This window comes from Homo sapiens, chromosome 12, assembly GCF_000001405.40.
Source record: "Homo sapiens chromosome 12, GRCh38.p14 Primary Assembly".
NCBI classification, from domain to species: Eukaryota; Metazoa; Chordata; class Mammalia; order Primates; family Hominidae; genus Homo; species Homo sapiens.
The window spans coordinates 130,249,274-130,276,202 of record NC_000012.12 but is presented as its reverse complement, the minus strand read 5'-3'; the positions used below and the strand labels follow the sequence as shown (position 1 = coordinate 130,276,202).

The 26,929-nt window shown below is 44.4% G+C and overlaps 1 annotated feature.

The window, feature by feature from the left end:
• Positions 24,205 to 24,374: an enhancer, noted in NCBI's record as "experimental_25816 CRE fragment used in MPRA reporter constructs". NCBI's record gives its function as "activates a minimal promoter by MPRAs in K562 erythroleukemia cells, with activity observed for both the introgressed and non-introgressed 12:130736459 variant alleles {active_cell/tissue: K562}" and the evidence as "EXISTENCE:reporter gene assay evidence [ECO:0000049][PMID:34662402]".

Here is a 26,929-nt window from a genome sequence, read left to right as displayed (position 1 = left end):
AGACACGTGCAGGTCAGCTTCCTCCATGGGAAGGGTTTCATCTCTTTCTTGCTTTCTGATGTTGTGGGTTGACTTTGGTAATTGCCAACTTCTTAGAAGAAATGGGATGCTTAGAAATGATGGTTTTTATCTAGAGGGGGTGAGGATGCTCCTTTCTGTTGAAATGGCCATAAAGTAAACGCTATAAAGGATGTGTCTTCTCTCAGATTTCCAAGGACCAATGGCTAGTTGGCTTTGGTGCTTTGACTATGTCACCAAAGTGACTCATGATCTATTCATGAAGTTCAGCAAGTTGAATAATGATAAAGCACAGTTGCTATGCACCTGCTGTGTGCATATCCCCTATTTAATCCACACCATGAGCAAGGTACCATTATCACCCCATTTTATAGAAAGGCATAACCTGCCCAAGAAGGATGGGGAGAACTTGACCCCAGCGGTCTGGCACCACTGTACACATCTAACCACAGAACCCTACAGCCATTCTGTAGCAGAGATACAGAACGATTTGTCTCCACTGTTGGAAATTGTATCATAAAATATCAAATAAGAAATAAATAAATGGATGTTCATGGACAGGAGGGCTCAATGTTGTAAAGATGTCAGTTATTCTAGACTTGATCTATATATTTAATGCAATACCAGTCAAAATCCCAGCAAGTTATCTTGTGGCTATCAACAGACTGATTCTAAATTTTATATGGAGTTGCCAAAGACCCAGAACGATCAACCCAATCAATACTGAAGGAGAAAAACAAAGTGAGAGGACTGACGCTACCCAACCTGAAGACTTACTACAAAGCTACAGTAATCAAAGCTGTGCAGCATTGGTGAAAGAACAGACAAACAGATCAATGGAATAGAATAGAGAGTGCAGAAATCAGCCCACGTAATTATAGTTGACTGATCTTTGACAATGGAGCAAAAGCAGTGCAATGGAACAAGATCATCTTTTCAACAGATGGTGCTGAAACAATGGGTCATCCACTGTAAAAAATGAAGCCAGCCACAAACCTTACACCCTTAATTCAACACAGATCACAGACATTTATAAACATAAAATGCAAAACTGTAAAACACCCGGAAGAAAAAGGAAGAGGAAACCTAGATGGCCATGGGTTTGCTGATGACTTTCATATATAACGCCAAAGGTGCAATCCATGAAAGAGATAATTGATAAGCTGAATTTACTAAAATTAAATTTCTAGGCCAGCTGCAGTGGCTCATGCCTGTAATCTCAGTATGTTGGGAGGCTGAGGAGGGCGGATCATTTGAGGTCAGGAGTTTGAGACCAGCCTGTCCAACATGGTGAAAACCCATCTCTACTAAAAATACAAAAATTAGCTGGGTGTGGTGGCAGGCACCTGTAATCCTAGCTACTTGAGAGGCTGAGGCAGGAGATCACTTGAACCCAGGAAGCGGAGGTTGCAGTGAGCTGGGATCCCACTCCTGCCCTCCAGCCTGGGCGACAGAGTAAGACCCCATCTCAAAAAACATAATAAATTAAATTAAATTTCTGCCTTGCAAAAACAGTGTCAAGAGAATGAGAAGATATGCCACAGACTAGGAGAAAACATTTGCAGAAGAAACATTTGATAAAGAATGTTATCTAAAATATACAAATAACTCTTAAAATTCAACAATAAAAAATGAATAACCCAATTTTAAAATGGAAAAAAAAGTCATGAATAGATATCTCACCAAAGAAGATAGGCAGATGGTAAATAAGCACCTGAAAAGATGCTCCACATCATATGTCATTAGGGAACTGCAAACTACAACAACGAGATAGTACACATGTATTATTATAAAATGGTGCAAATCCAAAACATTCACAACGCAACGTGCTTGCAAGGATATGGAGCTCTCATTCATTGCATGTATTTTCACCTGGGAAGACCGTCATGCTCCTTGGTATTTACCCAAATAAACTAAAGACTTAGGTGCACACAGATGTTTATAGCAGCTTTATTCATAACTGCCAAAACTCGAAAGCCAAAGCCACCAAGACATCCTTCAGTAGGTGAATGGATAAACTGTGCTACATTGAAAAGATGGAACATGATTTTGTGCTAAGAAGAAATGAGCTATCATGTTATGAAAATATGTGGAAGAAACTTACATTCATATTACTAAGTAAAAGAAGTCAATCTGAAAAGGCTACGTGCTGTATGATTCCGACTATGTGACACTCTGGAGAAGGTAAAATTATGGAGATAGTAAAACATTCAGTGGCTGCCAGAGGTTGCAGGGGAGGGAAAGATGGATGGGCGGAACACAGAAAGCTTTTAGGGCAGTGAAAGTACTCTGTATGATAATAGAATGGCAGATACACATCATTATACACTTGTGAAAACCCATAGGATGTGCAACACCAAGAGTGAACCCTAATGTGAACTATGGACTGTGGGTGATACTGATGTGTCAGTGTAGGGGAAATGATTGTAACAAATGGACCGCTCTGGTGTAGAATGTTGATGGTGCCTCTGTGGATACAGAGGGTACATGGGACCCATCTGTACTTTCTGCTCAATTTTGCTGGGAACCCAAAACTGCCCTAAAAAATAAAGCCTATTAATTTAGAAGAAGAAGGAGGAGGAGGAGGAGGAGGAAAGAAGGAGGAAAGAAGGAAGAAAGAAGAAAGGAAGAAGAAAAGAAAGAAGAAAGAGGAGAGGAGGAGGAGGAGGAGGAAGGGGAATGGGAAGGGGAAGGGGGAGGAGAAAGAGAAGGGGAGGAGGAGGAGAAGGAAGAAGAAGAAGGAGAAGGAGAGGAAGACGAAGAAGAAGGAGGAGGAGAAGGAGAGGAAGACGAAGAACAAGAAGAAGGAGGAGGAGAAAAGAGGAGGAGGGGTAAGGGGAGGAGGAGGAAGAGGGGGAGGAGGAGAGGAAGGAGGAGGGGAAGGAGGGGAAAAGGGAGTGGAGCAGGAAGAAGAACAAAAATCACAATTTATTGCAGATTTCAAAAATCTCAACACAGCCTTCAGAATCAGCCACGTCTGAATTTAAATGAGGCTCTCCCCGACACTTTGTCTCCATGAATCTTTATTAGAAGAAAGGGAAGCGGGCCTACACTAACACTTTGCATTTCTGTTGCATGGATTCACCATAATGTAGATGGGATTCTGGGTACGGTGGCTGGATTCTGCAGGCATCAGTCAATATCTACAATATTGGAGTCACCAGGTGAAAGCACTCACACCCTGGCCCATTCATGGTCAGCCCTAGTTTTGAACTCACTCAGCAACGACCTGCTCTAACCTGCCTACCTGCCCAAATCTAAACTGTTGGATAAATCGCTTTGCTAAAAAATTCTCATAGTTGAGCAATTTGACCATTAAAGGTCTCTGATCTACGTGTTCTTGAAAGAATTTTTTTAAAAGAGCTTTTTCATGTATCTACTATATTATTCAACTGTATGAATATATTTTCACAATAATGTTAGGCCATTATTTTTAACATGTATGCCTTTTTTCTGGTCTGACCAGCATCATGGAAGGAATATAAGGGTTTAACTATATGGCAATCACTAGAATTATGAAAATGTTAGTCATGCTCTAATTAAGATGGATATAATCTTCAATAGTATAAGATCTGTAAACAAATTTCAAGATCTATCACTTTGATAACCGTGGTTACTTATTTATTCTGTGTTCATACTTTATGAAATTTTGAAAAGACTTCAAATTATGTCAACGAGTGATCATTAAAAACAAGAAAGCTTTCTGTAGCTTAGATTACTAGGATTTTATGGTCAATTTATATGAAGTTACATTATGCAGAAGATGAAAATGTTTTGAGACTGTTTATCTGTAACAGATTGCTTTATAATAACTGTTTCTAAAGGAGAGTATGCTTCATAAATCACGGCAAGCATGTGATATAACACAAATCAAAGGAAAACAGAAATAAGAATACTAGCATTTCGTTCTAGCTCTTAACGACTCTTTGACCTCTGGCAAGGCAATTAATATTTTTGAACCTCAGTTTTCTTATCTGTAAATAATAGTGTCTGTCTAGTTTCCAAACTCTGAGGATGAAATGAGACAATATTAATAAAACCCTCAACAAGTATAAAGCATTTTATATGGGTAGAGTATTATTATAATTAATGCAGGAAAATACCTAAGCTGTGTGAACAAATATGAACTTAGCCTTTGGATGAATCCTGAGTGGCTGACGGAGCCCAACTTTAAGACTAAGCCCAGCGTCCATTTGCTGGCTAGAGGCCACACACGTGTTCTAGTGTGACAGGGCTGATGACAGTCCTGCTGAGTTTCATGGCCTTTCATGATCACTCATTTTTATCTTCTGAGTTACCCTACATTTTTTTTTTATCTTTGGGACTTTCAGAGCTCAGATGAACCAACCAACCAGAGTTCACCTGCCTTGGCCGATCAGGGCTCAACTGTATCAACCAATCAGGGCTCAAATGCATCAACCAATCAGAACTAAGCAAGTTTCAATTCTTCATTTGCATAAACAGATCTGATTGGGAACCTGGGCAGGACATTTCGCTTTAAAACCTGAGCCTTCCTTTTTTTCTTTGCAACACACCTTCATTTTATAGGAAAGACTCCATTTCCCCAGTTTGCAAACTGTTCACTGGAATAAAGTCTCTTTCCTCCAAATTCCTTTTCAGAGAACTTTTGTTCACACTTGTTTAGCAAACCAATTCATTTTCTTTCTGGGCTTTACTGCATCTTAGTGGTGCCTTGTTGCCCTTCTAGCCAATGGAATGTGAGCAAACAGACACAGACACTTCCAGGTGAGGCTGACAAAGCTTCCAGGAGATCTTCCAAATTGGCTGTGCCCTGCCACCACCAAGATGTGGAGAGTCAAGGGAGCACTGCCATTCAAGAAGATAAGGAGCCACTGGACTCTGGGAGCCAGTCCTTGAGGACAGCTGTCCAGGAGGGCTGCCCAACCAGCCACCTTCGCAGCACTTCCATGAACAAAAAGTACACATCGACTGTGTCCAGCCACCAAGGTTCTGGGCTGTTCTATCCTAACACAAGCAATGTGAATTCTATATTATACACAAATTGCATAATTAAAACATTTTTAACTTTCCTTTGTCAAGAAGAAAATAAGCTGCAAGTATCTGGTCTTTATATTTTACATATGTGATTTTTTTAAAAGACCATAAAAATAGAAATTCCTGGCCAGACGTAGTGGCTTATGCCTGTAATCCCAGCACTTTTGGAGGCCGAGGGTGGATCACCTGAGGTCAGGAGTTCGAGACCAGCCTGGCCAACATGGTGAAACCCCGTCTCTACTAAAAATACAAAAATTAGTTGGGCGTGGTGGCAGGCGCCTGTAGTCCCAGCTACTCGGGAGGCTGAGGCAGGAGAATCTCTTGAACCTGGGAGGCGGAGGTTGCAGTGGGCCGAGACTGTGCCACTGCGTGGATGACAGAGTGAGACTCTGTCTAAAAAAAAAAGAAAGAAAGAAAGAAGAAATTCCCCAAGGGCATTGTAATTTAGATTCTGAGAAGGAGACAGACAAAAAAAGAGTTCATTTACCTTTGCTATTTGTAAATCTCTTTTCATTTATGGGTTTTTCCCAATGGAGTAGCTGAGAATGCATTTTTTTTTTTTTTTTTTTTGCTTATGATCTAAAATCTTAGAAATGTAAACTACTTAGTAAACTCAGCCAATGCTTGTAATTCTGACACTCAATTCTTACTTCATAATTTTGAAATTACTTGAGTGCTCAAAGATTGTGGCTAGTTAGTTAGTTGGTTGATGAGTTGGGTGGTTGTATTCAGATTGGCCCGGTAATTGTCTACATATCACATGAACTCTCTGCTCATATTTTCATAGCTAAAAACAGGGATTGGAGCAAATCTTATTTGTTGAATGCTCTGGCCAACCACTGAGATGTGTGTGTGTGTGTGCGTGTGTGCATGTGTGTGTGTTGTGTGAACAAGAGAGTTAATGGAATCCACTCCTAGTTTCCATTTCAAACAGGGTGAGAACATCTGACCTTATTTGATAAATAATGGCACCTTTAAACATTTCTATTATCAACTGTCTGCAGTAACAAAGGGAATACTATTAGAAATGTTTAAATAGTTTAGAGCGATAAATATAATATGCACCTACAAATGTGCAGATAAATAAGGTTTTAACTAAAAAATTTCTATCATGACTTTGAAAAGAAATGAAACAGCCTGTACTAGAAATCTCCCAATTCAATTAAATATTTTATTATTAACGGAAAGCCCATGCTGGGAGTGTGAGAATGGGTATTATTTGAGTATGAAAGTTCATAGACATTTTGGATGTCCAATTTCCCTTTCGGTGTAAGGGCAGGCATTAAGAAACTGGATCCTCACTGAGCAATGATGGTTGAAGAGGGGAACCTGTGCCAGGTTATGCCAATAATTGCCAGCCCCCCAGGATTCTAGCTCAGAAATTTTTGTATGTTCTCAGGAGACAAAAATGAGTGATCATCAAAGGCAGTCGAACTCAGCAGGACTGTCATAAGCCTGAAGTTACAACTTAGACATGCAATAGAAAATATCATCGGTACCTCTCCAGTGCATCGCCTGTAGTAATTAAAAACTTGATCCCTGCTGTTTTATCATCTCATTAGCAATGGGGGCACACAACTTTTATCCTTGTTTGTCAGGAATCAAACATACCAGAGGAACTCTGATTATAAATTGATGAAAGTAAAGTTAAACTTTTAAATAAGAGAAGTGACTGTTCACAATGTTTTTTTTAAAGCTGATTAAAGGGATCTAGTTTTTTCTCTTAAGAGTAATCTCTCTGTCCAGCCTAGAATTGTAGAGGTCATCTCCAGGATTGCTACATGTGACACGTTTTATAAAGGGGGTTTGCTTTGTAAGCCATTCTGATTTAAAATAAATATCAGCCCTGAAAAACTTCCTGAAAGCACAGATGCAAAGAGTGTCATCCTTTTCAAGCCTTTTGATGAAGTTGAAACACCTTCTATCCCTCTCAGTTATGTGTATTATAACGCCTTTTATTCAGGGTAACTGACTGGCCTCACCGTTTAAAAGCCCAGGCAAGCTTTCTGCTTGTTTTAATAACTTGTTTTTCACAGAGGACAGGTGAAGGACCTGGGGACCCTTTTATGCAGCTAATTTCTCCAACATTTGCCTCCAAAATGGAAGTTTTTCATCCTAACCTACATTGTTTCCTTTGGGTCCAAAAAAAAAAAAAAAAAAAAAAAAAAATCCAAACAGGTAGAGCTGTATTTCTCTACGGTACTCGAATTCTAATCTACACTATAGAACAATTGGGAGGTTCAGATTTGAAGACAGAACAGCTTACTGTACCTTTCGTCTTATGTTAAATGCCCTTCACCCATAATTAACAAATTGCCTATGCATTTAAAGCATACTGCCGGAGAGACTTCTAAGAACCGTGTTCTCTGGCAGGTGCTAGGATATCGAGAAATAAAATAGAGCTCCGGTTCGCCTGCAACTTTAAAACTTTCTTCTCATCCTGCCAAGTTGCTTGAGGAATCATAGTCCAAACAACTTAAGGAGTTAAAGATAAATAAATAAAAGCGAGATATTCTTAACCTCAGGACTAATGTCATTTTGGGTCAGACGGTTCTGTGTGGTGGGGGCCGTCCTGTGCACTGCGGGACGGTGAGCAGCCTCCCTGGCCTCCACCTACCAGCTACCTGTGGCCCCCCACCTCCAGTGTAACAACCAAAAATGTCTCCAGACATGGCGAAATGGCACCGGGAGTCAAAACTGTCCCCAGCTGAGAATGACTAGAACAATGTGTATATAGCATATTACCATGTGTGTGACACACACGTGATTGTGAACACGGAAGCCATCCTGAAAACCAACGTGCTTTCTGATAGCATCAAAAGTCATTGCCTCTCCTAGGTAAAGGAGAAGAACAGGGGAGAAAAGGCAACTTATTTTCTCGTTATACTCTTTTGTACCTTCTAAATCCTGTGGCCTGTGTGGATATTACCCATCCCAAGCAAACACCCAAACAAATGAACACATAATTCAAGCCAGGAGTTCCCACTGAGGTCAATAAGTAGAGAGCTAAATTAATAAGTCAACCAAGTGCATGAATGGGTAAGTCAAGATACTATGCCGAGGCATCCTACAGATGAATGAACTAATTGAACCTGATGGCCCAGTACAGAACTCATCAGAATTATTCTGTAATAGTGAAATGAAAGAGTATGCTTATATACAGTGACTTAGGTGTTTCCGATTTTATTATCATCAGCAACACCAATAAAGAACTATTCTCCCATTCCTTCCAGAAAATGAAAGCTTTCTCAGCCTTCAAAAGCCCTGCAAAGTCACTTAAGACTTTTAAGCCTCAAGACTTCCTTGAAGGAGCAGGGTTTGCCTCATGGCACGGGTTTGTGTTTATAATGCCAACATTTGCTCTAATGAGCAAAAAGAACCCTTCTCATGGGGCAGCTGCCCCCATGCCCCAGTGAGGGTGAGGCCAGTGTCCTGTCCCAGGTAGAAAGCAGGTCCTGGCCGCCCCATCAGGGGCATCACAGAGTGCCTGGAAGCTTTCAAAAAGCTGCCACCAAACTGGAGGTCACGATGTAAGTGAAATAAGCCAGGCACAGAAAGACAAATATCACTTATTCTCTCTCATGTGTGGGAGCTAAAAGAAATGGATCCATGGAGGTAGAGAATAGAATGATAGATACCAGAGTGGGGAGTGTGTGTGTGTTCGGGGGCGGTGGGGAGATGAAGAGAGGTTGGGTAATGGGTATAACACCCATTCGATATTGGATGGGTATTGGATGCATATGAGATTAGTTATAGTATCCATTACTAATGGGTACAGTACTCATTAGGAATTGGTATGGGTACAATTACCCAACAGTTAGAAGGAATAAGTTCTCATGTTTGATAGTACAATAGGGTAACCATAGTTGGCAGCAATGTATTGTATATTTCAGGATACCTAGAAGAGAGGACTTTTAACACTCACAGCACTAGAAATGATAAGTGCTCAAGGGGATGTGCAGCCTAAAACCCTGACGTGATCATTACACATTCCGTGCATGTCGCAAACTACCACAGGTACCCCATCAGTATGTGCACATATTATGTATCCAAAAAAAAGTCATAACTGTTCCTGCTATCCCTCCCCGTCTTAAAAGCTGCCTAGAGTGAACACCAGCCTGCGGTCATGGGCGGGCCTGGCTCTGGATCAGACGCGGAGAGCCAGCCTGGTGTTGTAGGAAGAGCTGTGAACTAGGAGCCCGGAGACTTGGCTCTGTCACCAGCGGAGGGCGATCTTGGTAAGAAGGTTCATTTCCCAGGGCCACGTGGATTCATCTCTGAAGCAGAGACAAGTAGGAAATTCTACACGCGCCATCCAAGGTCCAAAGTGCTACATCCCTTCCTCTTTCCTTTTAATAGGTGCTCAATAAATCTTCATTTAAATGAACAGAAAAATGAATGAATGAATGAATGAATGAATGAGTCCATTGTCATCAACTTTTTAAAAATAATTGCAACTTTTACTTAAAATTCAGGGGTCCATGTGCATGTTTGTTACATGGGTCTATTGCGTGATCCTGAGGTTTGGGGTACAGTTGATCCCTTCACCGAGGCAGTGAGCACAGCTCCCAACAGGTAGTTTTTTCAACCCTCGCCCCCTCCCCTCCCCGGTAGTCTCCAGCACCTACTGATTCCATCTTTATGTCCCCGAGTGCCCAATGTTTAGCTCCCACTGATAGGTGAGAACATATGGCATTTAGTTTTCTGCTCCTGCATTAATTATCTTAGGATAATGGCCGCCAGCTGCATCCATGTTGCCGCAAAAGACATGATCTTGCTCTTTTATAGGACAGTGTAGTATTCCTTAAGGTGTCTTCTTAAAAGAAGATTTCAATAACCAGAAAAAAAAGTGTCTTCTTCCTAAAGCTAAATTGAAAAATACCTAATTAAGTCAATAACATGACTTAAAATTCATTATCATACTGAAAACACTTTATCACACAGGAAGTGCCTTTTTCATTTTTGTAAGGCCATCTTTCAGAATATAGCCTTTCACCTCAATGATTTACGGATATGCAGTATTAGAGTCTCATCAAAATCACGGGTAACATGAGGATTAGAAATGTCAGATGTTAGGAATAACAGAATCAGAATCAAAATATTCTGAGAGTCCATAAAACTTAACAGAGAATTGCAGTCAGTTCTGCTTTAACACGACATGTGCGCACCTGAGAATGTCGGTGCTATGCAAAATCATGCAACGCAAATCACAGGGCTGGTAAGAAAAGCGGGATTGGGGCACAGCGCTCAAAAGCACGTCAGTGACACATTTGAGAAAAAGACGGAAAGCTAATACAAATTCCAGCGTGGTTTTACACGTGTTCAGTGGTTAAGAAATAACATAAATACCACCATGAATATGGCTCTTCACCCAGAGGGAACCCCGAAGATTGCTCACGGGAGTGGGTACTGGAAGGACTATAGTCCGCGGGTTATTGTGAAGCGGTGGAAATGGCATTATCTGCAATTGGAAGAACGGAGTGTCGGCAGGCGTGGATGGAGTAGTTCCTAAAATCTCAGTGAACTGAAATCGTTGGTAGATGTTTGAGGCGTGGACATGTGTGGGTTTTGTACATTTCTTTGCTGCTCTGTTCAGCCCATGCAATTTTCTGTATTCGGCTAGTGTTTATCACAGATGAAATTGCCCATGAGCAAATACGACTTTGGGGCTGAGCTCAAATCGTTCCCTACTATCTCAACTGCATTGGAACAAACGTGTATCTTCAAAACAAGAGTTGCAGCAGAACTGCGTAATATTCTGCACTTAGGATAAAATAATATTGTTAGAATAATAGGCTGGGCGCAGTGGCTTATTCCTGTAATTCCAGCACTTTGGGAGGCGGAGGCGGGTGGATCACCTGAGGTCAGGAGTTTGAGGCCAGCCTGCCGACATGGCAAAACCCCATCTCTACTAAAAATACAAAAATTAGCCGGGTGTGGTGGTGGGCACCTGTAATCCCAGCTACTCAGAAGGCTGAGGTGGGAGAATAGCTTGAACCCAGGAGGCGGAGGTTGCAGCGAGCCGCGTTCTCACCATTGTACTCCAGCCTGAGGGGCACAGCAAGACTCCATCTCAATAATAATAATAATAATAATAATAATAATAATAATAATAATACTGCTAGGTAACATTAGTATCAGGCATCAGGCCTACTCTCTGCTGGGCACACTGCCCAGCACTGACATACATTAAACCTTCTTCATCCTCACTCCCTCTGTGAGACAGGCGTGGTTATCATGATATCATTTCATCACGGGGAAAATAAGGCACACAGAGGTTGGTGGGATGAGCTGGGAGGTGATACAGGGAGTTTTTCCACAGAATCGTCACTCTACTGCGAATAGGCAGTGTTGTTTCAGGGACTGTCGTGTATTCCACATGCTTCAGCCGTGGGCTGGGACTGTAACAACGAAAAAGCAACGGTGTCTTAGGCAGCTCTAGCGAAACTTCAACATAAGGAAAACAGGAAGCAATAAGCCCTCTCTCTGTCTCTCAGGACATACCATCCTGGAGTATTCAGTCCTGTTCCGGGCACCACACTGCTAAGGAGAGGGGTATAAATAAATGGGATTTAAGGGGATATAAATAAAACCATGTTCAAAGGAGTGTAAACAAGATGGCGAAGGAATTTAAATTCATGTCAGATGAGACGCTGTGAAGGAACTTAGGATATTTAGAAGAGAAAAATGCAGCCACATGAGAATTTTCTTGAAATGTTTGAAGGGTTAGAACATGTCGAGACTATTAGATGTCCCTGGTGTGTTTGTTTTCCCTTCATGGACCCATGGAGTTGAACAGGATGGGTGTGATAATGGCTAATGCTCACCGAGTGCTGAGTCCCAGGTGCTTTGCATGTAGCACCCAGGTTACTCCTGGCAGGGGCCTTGTGACGTCGCCTCTGATCGTCATCCCCACTGTACAGATGGATACATGGAGACAACAGAGATAGGAGACTCGCCCATGTCACGTGATGTGTTAGTGGCAGAGCAGGGGTTTGAACCCAGGAAGTTTGACCTGAAAAGTTACATTCATCACCCCTAAGCAGAAGAAGGTATAGGGAAGCCAATTTCAATTCCACATAAGGGAGAGCTTTCTAGAAATCAGAAGTGCTTTAGGACAGAGCAAGCCACTTCTGAAATGTGTCAATACCTGGTCCGCAGAGCTTTTCAAGCACAGGTTGAATGACCTCTTGATGGGGATACATAAAGGAGATGTAAGAACAAATCAGATAAGATTAGCTTTAAAGGCTCTTTCCAGTGGGTTTCTGTGGTTCTAATAGGGAGTGTTCAATGCATGGTCTAACAGTGTAAATGTAAAAACAAACAAACCCACAGCAGCCACGCCCAGGGACCATGCTGGGTTTGCTAACATCTTCATTACTCAGATATTTCTGCATAGGGTTTTGCAGTCACTGAATCTGAATTTAAAAAAAAGATCAATTTCCATTTTGAGAGATGTAAATTCATTGTGTGGCTCTGTAAATATATAATCTAAAGTGCAGTGAGTGTTAAATGTATGTTTACAATATCTTTGCCCTGTGGAATCTTGCAGGTATCAGTTGAAGGACCTTTAAAATAGTCCCTCCCATCTTAAAACAAAGCACTCCCGCCAAGTGATTTCCCTTCAGCCATCGCATAATCGCTTTTCTGCCTTCGCAGTTCACTCCTTGAAGACGCTGTGTAGATTCCCGCCTCGGCTCCCTCTCTTACCAGTCTTCACTCAACCCGCCTCTGTTAGTGAACCTCTGGCTTCCTCCCCAACCATCCTCTCCCATCACTGAACCCAATGGACAATCTTTAGTCCCTGTTCTTCCTGGTCACGCTGTCGTATCGGAACCATTCTTCTTTTTAAGGTGCTCTGTTTTTGAGTTTTTGTTTGGCATCACACACTCTTGGTTTTCTTCTCACCTCTCTGGCTACTCATTCCTAGTTTATTTTGCTGACTCATTTCTTTCACCTATCTGCTAACATTGTCTATCTTCACAGTTCCACCATTTTTATCTTGTTGACTTATTTGACACTCTCCCCATCTCAGTGTTCTTTGAGTGTTCTTCTGTTAACCTTTAAACAACAGGTGCCAAAGGGTCCTCTTTGGTTCTTACTATAGCAAACGGGACGATGTGGTCTCCTTCCACAGCCCCAGACACCAGTCATTGAGGATGACTCTCAACTCATGGACTCATACGACTCTGAGCTCCAAAGTCATGTATCCAGCTGAGAACTGTACATCTTCTCTCAGACATCTCTGGATAACTCAGCAAGTCCAAAAGGGAGCTCTTTCCTTCCCTGCCGCCTCCCTCCTCTTTGTTCCTTATCCTGGTCCATCCTAAAATCTGTGAATCATCTCTACTCTTCCCCCAGCCCCTCTACTGACCCAAGCATCTGGTTCTGTTTATTCTATTATCAGACCCAAAGGCCTCTCAAGCTGGTGCACGTTTTCCTTCCTTATCGCCATTGCTCCAGCTACAAATCTCTTCACTTCTTTATTGCCTGTTCTCTGCTTCTCTCTCCAAGGTTATCTTTGCTACCAGATGCACAGACTCTTCACTCCAATCACTTCATACTGACATTTTTTTCGGTCCCTGAAATTTGTTCTTCTCACGTGCACACCAGCTTTTGCACATATGGTTTCCTTTGTCCGGAATAGTTAAAGTGACTTTTACTTTTTGCTTGGCTAAGTCATGTTTACTCCTCAGGTACCAGTTTAAATGTCATTTCTATGTTAAACTTTCCAACTTCCCTATAACATGCTCTTTTACACATTCCCATCATACCCTATTCTTTCGCCCAATAAAAAGAATTTAATGTTGGACCTTCTTGTTATGCCTGTTTATTCATTTGTATGTCCACTGCAATTGCTAATTTCATGAGAACAGAGACAGTCTTATGGCTAGCACGCAGTAGGTTCTCAGTAAGTGTTTGTTGGATAAATATGAAAATTGAGATTCTATGCTGTGTTTTCCAGCCAATCAACTTTTGCTTACCATTAGCTGTTGTACATGACTTCATGGCTACATATATAGAAGTCACGATATTCAGAGTTTAGGCATGAAGCTAGTCCTTCATACATCTTCCCTATGTTTCATAAACTTCATCTCAGATTTGCATGATGTTTTGGTTCATTAGCTTTGCATTTTAGATTTGTTTTTATGGAGCACATAATAAGACTTCATGGCAGTGAATTTGTTGAGAAGTTGTTGAAAAAGTAATTACATCCCGAAGAGTTTATTTTCTAAAGCCATGAATCAATGGAATTTATTCATAGCTTAACAATGGGGAGATGAACCTATTTATAAATTACAAAGGATCTTTCCATTTTAAAGGAAATACTGCACAGCCTTTTACTCAAGAAACATTTTGCATGTATTAAAAAGTCATAAAAATACGGTACTAACAGAAGACAGGTAGACTATTTCGGTAATTTAGTCAATGAACAGTTTCCTTTTAAAATTGAATCATACCTAGTGCCCATTCACCTGTGGGGAATGCTGGTTAAATTCTTCAGTAGTGGTGTAGCTTTCTAGGTTAGAGTGGTTTTAGTCGACAAAGAAAATCGAGATATGACTTCCGTGTCACAGACAGTTGCTGTATTAAAGAGCTCCTTTGTATATGTAATAACATAGAAGACGTTTTAAGCACTTAGAGAGTTCCACATCTAAGATAGCAGTCCCTGTAAGACTAGATCTAACTTACCCTATTGTAATGGAGCAGAAATACATGAGACATGATTTTGTTTGAAATATTGGATCATTTTCCTTTGAGTCTGTGATTTCTGAGCTACCCCCACCCTCCTGTGTGACTTTAATGCAGTCTCCCTTCTGTATCCTGGTGCCTTTCCAAACCAGGCAGGTGTGAGAACAGTTCTGCATGCGTAAGTCAGCTCCCCAAGGAGACCGTTTCAAAGCAAAGTGACTTTCTTGATCCCAGGGAAGATAATATTAAAGAATACAGTGACCAGACCAGGAAATAAAGATACACTGAATTTTGAATGACTTTGCAGACCTAAACATTTGTAAGAAGAAAAAGAAAACATCGAAAGTGAGTAAAATGGGCCATGGGAGAAATTTAAAAGTAGATAAATCCACCGATAAGAGCATACATTTCCTTTGCTCTGCCTTCCAAAGGAGCTTCTGATGCAAAACTTCACGCCGGTCAAGAAAAGGAGGCCAAGAAAAGCTTGTGCTAAAACTCTTACAAGGCTGCCTTTTAAAAGAAACTTTACTGGCCAGGTGTGGTGGCTCATGCTTGTAATCCCAGCACTTTGAGAGGCCAAGGTGGGTGGATCACCTGAGGTCAGGAGTTCGAGACCAGCCTAACATGGTGAAACCCAATCTCTACTAAAAAAAAAAAAAAAAAAAAAAAAATTAGCCAGGCGTGGTGGTGCAAGCCTGTAATCCCAGCTACTCGGGAGGCTGAGGCAGGAGAACTCGGGTGGCAAAAGTTTCAGTGAGCCAAGATCATGCCATTGCACTTCCAGCCTGGACGACAGAGTGAGACTCCATCTCAAAAAAAGCAAAACCAAAACAAACAATAACAAAAACAAAAAATACTTTACCGTATTGCCTCTTTTCATCTGCTAATATAAAAAAGACAAATGATCTCTCTACTGCTCCAAAAATATGTGTGCTTAATACAATCTCTCTCAATGCAAGTGTTTACACTTTCCTATCCAACTGCCTCCCTCTTGTAGAGTCCCATTCTTGACTCAACCGTGAGCATGAAAAGGCGAACGCTCCCCCCGCCCTGAACACAGCATTGATGCAGTTAGGATACAGGCTGAACTGCTCCAAGAGAGAGCATAAAATAGAGGCTGCCCCAAACAAGAGACAAGAAAAACACTTATTTCTATCTCTCCCTGCGGGACAGAGGGGCGATCTGGGGTGGGTCCTTGTCTTCTATCCCTGGGCCACCAGCTGCACCAGCTCTTGCCATTCCTGGCCAGGGCTAAAGGGAGAGCTCCGAAATAGAGTTTCTAGCTGGGTGCACGTGTCGAACCTGGGGATAACTGAGGATAAATCCCCTTGGCTGCCCTGCACTCCATGCTTTGGGTGAAGCCCACTCAGCCCCACTCTGACAAATGTGCCTCTCAGGAGGAACAATCGTTTGTCCCCTTCCAGGGCACTACTGGCCAATATCTACTGCTTTTCCAAAGATTTTAGTGTTTGTAATCCTTACTTATAAAATTACAGGTCACATGGCCCAGGCGTCAACTACTAGTGAATATACAGCTATTCATTCATTCATCAAATGTTTACTGACCACTGGAAGGCAGTGAGGGACAGAACACACAGGTAGCTGGAGGAGCAGGGGCCAGGCAGAGGGAGCTGCTTGTAGAGCCTCTGGATGGCGGTGCCTGGAGGGTGGAGGAACAGAGTGGCCTGGAGGAGCAGGTGATGGAGAGAAGGGAAGCAGACGCCCTCAAGAAGGTAGTGGGAGATCAGGGCACTGGGAACCTTGAAGGCCATTGTCAACTGAAAATCCTCTACTCTGGTGGCCCTGGGAAGCCTTTGGAAGGTTTGAGCAGAGGTGTGTCTTGATTTATCTTTAAAAAAACATCTCATGTTGCCATGTTGAGAATTGGACTAAAGGTTGCAAAGATGGCAATAGAGAAGCGGGTTAGGATGCAATTGTGAACATCTGGGAGGAGAGACGGTGGCTTGCACCAGGGCAGTAAGCAGCAGCAGGGGAAGGTCACATTCTGGGTCTTTTGAAGGTGGAGCTTATAGGATTTGCTGATTGTTTGGATGTGGGTTTTGAGCAAGACAGATGAGTCTAAGAGTTTTAGTCCAAGCAACTAACTAGGAGGATAGAATTAACCACCAACTGAATTGGGGGCATTGTAGGAGAAGCATGTTTGGGAGAAAGACCAAAAGTTTGGGTTTCAATATGTTAGATTTTTCTTAGATTTCCAAACACAGGTGTTAAAGAAATAGTTGAATACGTGGGTCTGGAGTTCAGGGAAGTGGTCCAGCCTGGAGAAGAAAATTTGGGTCTGGAGTTCAGGGAAGTGGTCCAGCCTGGAGAAGGAAATTTGGATGGATTGGGGAGTAGCTCGCATATTGGTGGTAATCCAGGTCTTGACAATTGGACATGTCCAGTGAGTGCCCGATGTGGGGCACAACTGTGCTTCCCCTTTGCTGCGAGGTGGGGTCCTGGGTCCGGTTCTGACCAGGCTCACACCGTGGTCAGGTCCTGTCACACTTCCTTTCCCTCTGGCATGGAGCCTGGCCACGTGTCAGCAGTTCTGTTAACCTACATCCCCCCCTCCCCGAGGGCAACACGGGGCAGAACTCCCCCGGAGATCCATGAGGAGCCTGGAACCTCAGCAAGAAAGGAATCTTGTTTTTTCAGTCATGTTGGGTTTCAGTTGTTTATGATCTCAACTCACCAAGTCTGCCCTGGCTCTGGACATGGGTATGGTTCAGATGCTAGGTATAGTAGTCAAATTATAATGTAGGGAAATGGATAATTAGGGATTTATTTTTGTGATTTCTTTGACATACAGTTTGAGCCAGGAAATATTTTCATTTTCCAAACTGAGATGGAAAGAAGTTAACTGGAAGTTAAGAAAGTTGGTTATGGCTGGTGTAGTGGCTTACGCCTATAATCCCAACATTCTGGGAGGCCGAAACAGGGGGATTGCTTGACCTCAGGAGTTTGAGACCAACCTGGGCAACGTAGTGAGACCCCATCTCCACAAAAATAAAAAGAAAATTAGCCAGATGTGGTAGTGCACACCTGTAGTCCCAGCTACTCAAGGAGGCTGAGAGAGGAGGATCGCTTGAGCATGGAGATTGAGGCTCCAGTGAACTACCATTGCGCCACTGCACTCCAGCCTGGGCAACAGAGCAAGACCCTGTCTCAGTGAACTACCACTGCGCCTCTGCACTCCAGCCTGGGCAACAGAGCAAGACCCTGTCTCAGTGAACTACCACTGTGCCACTGCACTCCAGCCTGGGCAACAGAGCAAGACCCTGTCTCAGTGAACTACCACTGTGCCACTGCACTCCAGCCTGGGCAATAGAGCAAGACCCTGTCTCAAAAAAATAGTTATATATCATGACTATTTCACTAGTAGCACAGAATGGCTTATCCATAAGATCCTTGAAGGTTCGGTGCTGTCTGAGTGCCTGCCTCAGTCTCCCCCAGCTTTGGAAAGCAACTGGCCCCTCTTCTAGTGGCCTGCTTTGAAACATATTCTATTATCTATATCTGTATCTATATATCTACATCTATATTTACATCTATCTCTATATATCTGTATTCATAGATTTTCTTACTAAATGCGGCAATGATGTCAACAGTTCACTTTAACTGAGTGTGTACTATGTGCTGGCCCTGTTCTCTATTTTGCACATTCACAGAAGCCCTGCAAAGAAACTACCACATGCTTTAGAGTTCCCAGGTGCTGGAAGAAGGCACCCCAGAGCTGCACCCCCAAACCCCGTGGCAGGCCCTCAGCAGACGAGGTTTGCCTTGCACCACCACTCCCTCCTCCTAACTTATTTTTGTTTTGTGGTTCTCTCCACAGAGGTAAGCTATTAGAAACATTTATTTCAGCCTACATACATGATGTTTTCTAAAAACCATAACATTCTTCTTTCTAAACTCAATGCTTTGGACAAGCTAACATTCCCTGCCACTGTTCCCCATTGTGTTTTACGGAGGCAGCAGGTGTTTGTGACATGCAGATGGGGTCTTGTACTCTCTCTCAATTAGTCCCCACAATAACCCAGGAAGAATGTTATTCTCACCATGGGCCAAGTGGAAGCAGAGGTTCTCAGACTGTGAGCAGCCTGCCCAGAACTCACCAGGGATGACGATGGAGCCAGGACCCAACCTGATTTAATTTATTCAGTAGGTTGAATGACGATACTTGCAAAGCAGTGAAAGTCGAGGGTTTCAGAGGCTGTTAACTCAGTGATTCTGGAGCCATCTGGGGATGCTGGTGAGAGGTGACAGCGTGCTGGCAGTCCTCAGAGCCCTCGCTTGCTCTCCGCACCTCCCCTGCCTGGGCTCCCACTTTGGCGGCATTTGAGGAGCCCTTCAGCCACCCACTGCACTGTGGGAGCCCCTTTCTGGGCTGGCCAAGGCCGGAGCCCACTCCCTCAGCTTGCAGGGAGGTGTGGAGGGAGAGGCGCGAGCGGGAACCGGGGCTGCGTGCGGTGCTTGCGGGCCAGCTGGAGTTCCGGGTGGGCGTGGGCTTGGCGGGCCCCGCACCCGGAGCAGCCGGCCAGCCCTGCTGGCCCCGGGCAATGAGGGACTTAGCACCCGGGCCAGCGGCTGTGGAGGGTGTACTGGGTCCCCCAGCAGTGCCATCCCACCAGCGCTGAGCTCGATTTCTCGCCGGGCCTTAGCTGCCTTCCCACGCGGCAGGGCTCGGGACCTGCAGCCCGCCATGCCTGAGCCTCCCACCCCCTCCATGGGCTCCTGTGCAGCCCGAGCCTCCCCGACGAGTGCCACCCCCTGCTCCACGGCGCCCAGTCCCGCCGACCACCCAAGGGCTGAGGAATGAGAGCGCACGGCGCAGGACTGGCAGGCAGCTCCACCTGCAACCCCAGTGCGGGATCCACTAGGTGAAGCCAGCTGGGCTCCTGAGTCTGGTGGGGACGTGGAGAGTCATTATATCTAGCTCAGGGATTGTAAACACACCAATCAGCACCCTGTGTTTAGCTCAAGGTTTGTGAGTGCACCAATCGACACTCTGTATCTAGCTGCTCTGGTGAGGACGTGGAGAACCTTTATGTCTAGCTCAGGGATTGTAAATACGCCAATCAGCACCCTGTGTTTAGCTCAAAGTTTATGAGTGCACCAATCGACACTGTATCTAGCTGCCCTGGTGGGGCCTTGGAGAACCTGTGTGTGGAAACTGTATCTAACTAATCTGATGGGGACGTGGAGAACCTTTGTATCTAGCTCAGGGATTGTAAACGAACCAATCAGTGCCCTGTTAAAACAGGCCGCTCGGCTCTACCAATCAGCAGGATGTGGGTGGGGCCAGATAGGAGAATAAAAGCAGGCTGCCCGAGCCAGCAGTGGCAACCCGCTTGGGTCCCCTTCCACAGTGTGGAAGCTTTGTTCTTTCGCTCTTTGCAATAAATCTTGCTACTGCCCACTCTTTGGGTCCACGCTGCTTTTATGAGGTGTAACACTCACCGCGAAGATCTGCAGCTTCACTCCAGAGCCCAGCGAAACCATGAGCCCACCGGGAGGAACGAACAACTCCAGACGCGCTGCCTTAAGAGCTGTAACACTCACCGCAAAGGTCTGCAGCTTCACTCCTGAGCCAGCGAGACCACGAACCCACCAGAAGGAAGAAACTCCGAAAACATCTGAACATCAGAAGGGACAGACTCCAGACGCGCCACCTTAAGAGCTGTAACACTCACCGCGAGGGTCCGCGGCTTCATTCTTGAAGTCAGTGAGACCAAGAACCCACCAATTCCGGACACACTGGGACCTCTGGTCACCCTATCTCTGGATCTGAAGTACTTAACCCTGACTTGTTATGGCACCAATAGGCAAGGCCAAGCACCCACTTACTTTAGGAAATCACATTTATGGCGTGTTTCCTAAAAGGCAAACGTGTCTTTTTTCCCCAATCTCTGCCTTCCTCATTAAAAGTAAACCAAAGCTGGGCATGGTGGCTCATGACTGTAATCCCTTCCAGCACATTGGGAGGCTGAAGCAAGAGGATCACTTGAGGTCAAGAGTTCAAGGCCAACCTGGGTAACATAGTGAGGCCCCATCTCTACAAAAAAAAAAAAAAGTAGTTGGGTATGGTGGTACCGAAGAACCACTTGAGCCCAGGAGTTGAAGGCTGCAGTAAGCTATGGTCAAACCACTGCATTCCATCCTGGACTACACAGTGAGACCCTGTCTCTTAAGAAAATGAAAATAATGAAGTACAAAAAAAAAAAAACAAACCAAGGAATGGACATGGAAAAACGGCCTTTCAATATGGCAGGACATTGATAATGGCCTTCAGAAACCTCTGCTGGGCTTCCAGCTCTGGCCTCCTCCGCAGGTCACCACACCCTCCCAACAAACACAGACCTCGGCACTTGCCAGGAGGGACAGCTTGCCCTGCCCCTGCAGCCGCAGCAACACAGAGCCAAGGCCTAGCCACAAAGCCCTGCCACTCACTGCCAATTAGTTCTGTTTTCAGTATAAACAGAACTGCCTTAAAGAAAAATACAGCCTCCCAGAGCGCAGAACTCTTTATCCCCCCATTCGCAAACAGGTGAGGGATTGTCCGCTCACTCACTCTGCAGGAAAAGTGGGACACTTGGCTTGCTTTCCTGCAAACTGCATTTTGAGGAAGGCCACCAGGAGCCCTGATGCCGAGTCACAGAACAGGCCTGACTCTACAGAGGCGGAAGGCGGAGAATGAACAGAACAATGATTCTATTCTCTACCCTCTTTCTGGCAGATTTTTTTTTCCTGTGATGGTTGTTGGAGTCTGTGACAAATAGTCCACAACCACCGCGGATTGGCAGAGCCGCCGCGAAAGGCCTCTGCGCCCAACACAAAGGCATCTGTTACAGGTTGCACCTCCCATCAATGAGCGTCCGACCCTTATGCTGTCTTTGTTTAAAAGGAAAAAAAAGATCCTACTTAAGCAAAAGTAAACCACAGCCTGATACTGTGCCAACTATATTAACCAACTTCTCTTCGGAGCCTTTGAAGTTGGCAGGGGGCAACATGCTTGTGGTGCGAGGAGAGAATGATACTTTAAGCGATTCCTTTTCATCCCTTTAACTTAATGAAAGATTAATGGCCTTGTTATTTTTGTTTCTGCTCCTTTTTTTCCCCTTTAATATCCACCCCCACCACCCCCACCACCCCTGCCATTGAAATTGAAAATCCTTCCCGATCGTGGTTTTCTGGATCAGTGGGTTTTGTGAATACAACTCCTGCCCCTTCGTTACCATCCGCAAACTGGGTCAATGACTCCAAGTCCAAAACATCCAGGTGTCTTCAAGGAGGAGGTCCCTGGTGGATGAACAGGTGGGTGGCAGCCCAGGAGAGCTGGATTTTCTTCAAACAAACCCCACCTCCTTTGAGTCAGGCTGGAATGCCTTGGCAGGGAATTATTTATGTTTTTCCTTGAAGATGCAGTGCGGTGTTTTTGGCACCATTTTGGGAGGCGGGCTGTGGACTGATCAGGAGGTGGTCACATGTCACAGGCCCAGTGAATCCTGCTGGCGGGGAGGCAGGAGAGCACCAACACAAAGTTGTTCAGTCAGCAAGAGCCTTCCTCTCCCACCTCAGCCACTCCATTTTCCAGGCTTGTTCTCCTCCCCGTCTTTCTCTTGCTGCTGAACGCTAACTCCATCCAGCAACCGCAGGTGCCAAAAAACATAGGTGTCGTTCCGGATACCAACTCGCACTACCCTCCCCACCCATATTCAGTCAATTAGCAAGACCTGTTGGTTCAGTCTCCAAACATATTTCAAGGACAGCCCTTGCTATTCATGCCCTCTTCCACCCAAGCACACACCACCTCACACCTTGCCTGGAGGTCATTTGGAGTCAGCATCTTCTTTCTTACTCTGCAGCCAGTGGGACCCCTCTAAAATAAACATTGTGCTACTCTCTTGCTTAAAACCATCTGTGGACCCAGGATTCTCTTAGAGGAAAATGCCAACTCCCTCCTGGGGGCTGGAAAGTCCTGTGTGACCTGGTTCCTGCCCAGCTCTCCTGGGCTCCACACAGTCCTCTGTCTTCCCTGGGCCCCGTGAGGGCTTCAGCATCAATGCCATCCTCACCTCCTCACAGGATGGGCTTCTGTGGTCATCCCAGCCTCAGGAAAGTGCACCCTCTGAGACCCACAGCATCCACACACCATCTACAGCATCCTCCTCACCCTGCCTCCTTGTGCTGATGTTACCTCTATCCCTTTACCCCTGTTTTATTTTCTTCTAAACATTCATCTTTATCGGAATGTATTTGCGACGGATGGCCCAGCCCCTTCTATGGGAATGCCAGAGCCGTGGAAGCAGTCATGGTAAGTTGGACTTACCTGCCCCCTGGTGACTGATGAGTGCCCTCCTTGTGCCGGGCACGTTGCTGGGTGGTGATCCGGGCCACCTCCCTCTATTCATGGGGAACAAATGGCATTTGCCTTCATGGTGGCCCTAGTATTCAAAGCACCATGTGAAAAGAACAATTCAGTAGCAGAGCCCCATTGAAGACTCCAGAAATGGTCTCAACTATTTGGCCAGCTACATCCAAGAAAAGTGGATGCCCATATGAAGACACCAAGGAGATATTTAGAACATGGCCAGAAGTCCCAAGCTCATTCAGTTGGATAGAGTTGCACATTTCGTTTGTACCTGGCCAGCTTCTGCAAACTCAGAGATTGATTACTAAGTGAAACTCAACAGAACAACCTAGAGATTATGTTACCTAGAATGGGGTAGTACCCGGTTACTCACTGGTTCTGCTAATTCAAGAAAATTCTAATGATATTATGCAAGGCAGTAAGAGGCTGCATTTATTCAAAATTTCTATTGCAGATGAATTCCATAAAACCCGGGAAGGCTCAGCTCCTGGTGAGAACCCCCAGGTGGGGTGGAGCTGATGAGACCCCCCAGGTGGGGTGGAGTATATGCCTCTCTGCACCTTCTCAGACCTGACTTGTACATCCCGTATTTCATGTGGATCTTCGATAGATAATTGTCTTCCAGAATATTTTAAAACCTCCTCTAGGGCTGAAAATGAGTCTTACTCATCCCGTAGTAAGAACTTGGTGAGTGCTTGTTTATTCTAAGATCTGTGAAATCCTGTAACTCAGTGTAAGACCCTCCCAGCAGCAGAGGGATAAGCAAAAGGCAGCCAGGCACCGTTGTTTTGCTCCTTCGTGGGCACAAATATTGCTCACGTAATTATAATTTCATGTATGTGATTGAAAGTTTCTGACACATACCATGCTTACCCCAGTTCTAGCTACATCAATGATTCTCACATTTTGGTCAGTTGTATTTTAAAAACTCTTAATTCCAGTGAAAATGTATGGTAGAGAATTATTTGGGTTCTATGATTCTTTAGCTTGGGATTTTCAGACCCATTTTTAGCATTTTATGGCTGACTTTCCTGCCAATCACTAAAATGGAAGAGTATTGGGCTGAGCACACCTGACACAGACTGTCCCAAGAAAGGGCTGTTGTCTCGTTTCCAAGCAAACAACAGCCATGTTGCATAAATGCTTAAACCCTGTAGTTGGAAGAATTTAATGAAGACAGACCCTGATGCACGACATTAAATACATTCCCTTCTTTTAATAACTCAAGTTGATTTCAGATCGGGAATCACAGTCGTCTAATACTATGAAAATTAAACAGAAATTTTCTGCCATTACACCAAGCAGCCTGCTTAATAAATCAGTAATGAAAAAGAATAATTTATTATGGCTTGTGAATTCTGACAGCTCTAAAAAGATGTCCTTCCTCTTCCCCCAGAGGGAGAACGGAATTTTCTTTTTACCTTCAATACACTGGCATTAAGCATAATTTCTCTGTCTGTAGGACTTTACTACTGAAGAGTAGAAGGGATTAGATTTTTACATCACAACCTATTTTAAGCAATTATAATCCACAAGTAATCTTCCTCATTCATCCCCCCTGGGGCGAGGAAGATGTAAGAGACTGTTCTGGGGCCTCAATTTGGATCAGTGTTTGCATTCCTACTAGCTGAATTAGCTGGGATTCTGGAGTGTGGAGCCCATTTATCTCAGACGCTGTGGGAATGTGGGCCTCACTCACAAAAGGAGGTTTTTGCCAACTGAGTGCCATTAGTGCAGTCAAATAACATATGACCCCCATCCTTTGCCCTCAGACATGTCTTTTGGTCTTTGGCCTCCTTGTGCCAGTGCAGGAAGAAACTTCTCGCTTTGTGGGAAGCCATTTGGGAGTTAACGACCTGGCTTTCCTTCAATCCACTTACATTTCTGGTCATTCTCAGCATCAGGGAGTTGTGCACTGGAGTCTGTTCATACAGGCTTTTTTTTTTTTTCCAGGAATTTTGTGAGCCAGTTGTAAACACAGAATTATTAAAAATTAAATTACATAAATGTACATTTAAAGCAATTGTATTGGAAATAAAGGTAGAAGAGAACTCAGCTTCAATGCACTCCGTGATGACCTGTGCTCCTGAGGCTCACTGCGTGGAGGAAACGCTCGCCGGGGGCTGCAGGCATCTCTTCCCATCTCCGTCTGGTGAGTCATGTTGGTAACTTGAAGTTGCCCACGATGGGAGTATTTACACCATGGAAATTGGCAAACATGACAAATCAAGTGTGTTTATTGTATTTATTGTATTCTGGTCATTTTGTTTTCCTGAAGAGTTAATTGTTAAACCTTTACTAGCACACTGCTGGCAAAGGGGGAGGGGATGGATGAGAGCAAAGACATTCCTAGGCTTAAAATTAGCCATGGGAGGCTAGCACCTGCCTCTGAGAGCCACTAAAAGTCACTTATTTATTTACAATCTCTTTTATTTGTCCAACAGCTATTGTGTCCACAGCACTGGGGACATGGCCATAAGCAAGGCAGATGAGGGCTCTGCTCTTAGAGAGCTGACATTCTCATGGATTAAGCTCAATGGGTCTGACAAATTGACCAACGTGTTAGAGAATAGGGGGCCAGGTTAGACCAGATGGCCAAGGAAGGCCTCCCTGAAGAAAACTTGTTTTATTTCCTTCGTACCGCTTATCAAAATTAAAATATGCTTCTTTCTGTGTCATCCTATTGATGATCTGCTCCCCATGCCCCCAAGCCTTGAGTGTGTGCCCCATGAGGACAGGGACTTGTCTGTCTCACTCTCTATCCACAGGGTCTGCTGAGTCAAAGTGAGAACACGAGGCACGATAGATATTTGTTGAATGCATTAAATGGGACTTGAGCTGACACCTATGAAATGAAAATTATTCCTGGGAAGAGGCAGGATATGAGAGGCCCAGGCAGTGGGAATGGCACCTAGGAACCTCTGAGGTGGCAGAGGTGGCCACAGCAAAATGGAAAAGGAAGAGTGAGGTTAGACCAAGCACGCTCCCACAGGGGAATGGTTGGCAGAGCCCACGGTTCTCCTCTTCCTTTCCCATTCCTTCATCTCTACGTGGTTCATGGGGGAAAAGGCCATCAGCTTTACCTTCCAGTCCAGTAGTTCTTTCTTCCGCTGTATCTGATCTGATCTTCAATCCGTCTGAAGCAGGGCAGGCGAACCCCACACTGGGCTTAGCCCGGGAAGGATTTTGGCTGTGCTTAGGAGCGAGCTGGTGGTAGGAGGAAGCAGCTTTATGGAGGTGCAGGGTAGCAGCCCCGTGACCACCACACCACAGCAGAGCAGGGCCCACAGGCAGTGCCTGAGAGCAGCAGCCCAGGGCAGTTCTGCAGCCATATTTATATCTACTTTTAATTCCATCCCAGACAAGGGTGAGCTTATTCAGAAATTTCTAGAAAAAGGGTGGGAACTTCTGGGTCGTTGTCTTGCAAAAGGGGCAGTAACTTCTGGGTGTTGCCATGGCAATGGTAAACTGACATAACACTGGTAGGCGTGTCTTATGGGTGTTCCCATGGCAATGGTAAACTGACATTGCACTGGTGGGCGTGTCTTATGAAGGGCTGCTTTCACCTCCTTCCTGTTTTTCAGCCAGTCTTTGATCTGGTCTGGAGTGCGGACCCTGCCTCCAGAGCTATGCCCCGCCTCCTACTTCACATCCGTTGACTGTTTTATTTCCAACACTATTTTTTTAATCTTAGAATTTCTACATGCTTCTTTTGCAAATCCACACATTTTTAAGGTGTTCTATTCTTTTATAGTTTTCCATCCCTTTCTTTATGATCATTCTAAAGACTTCTGGGATAAATAAGTTCAACCTTGACATGATATATTA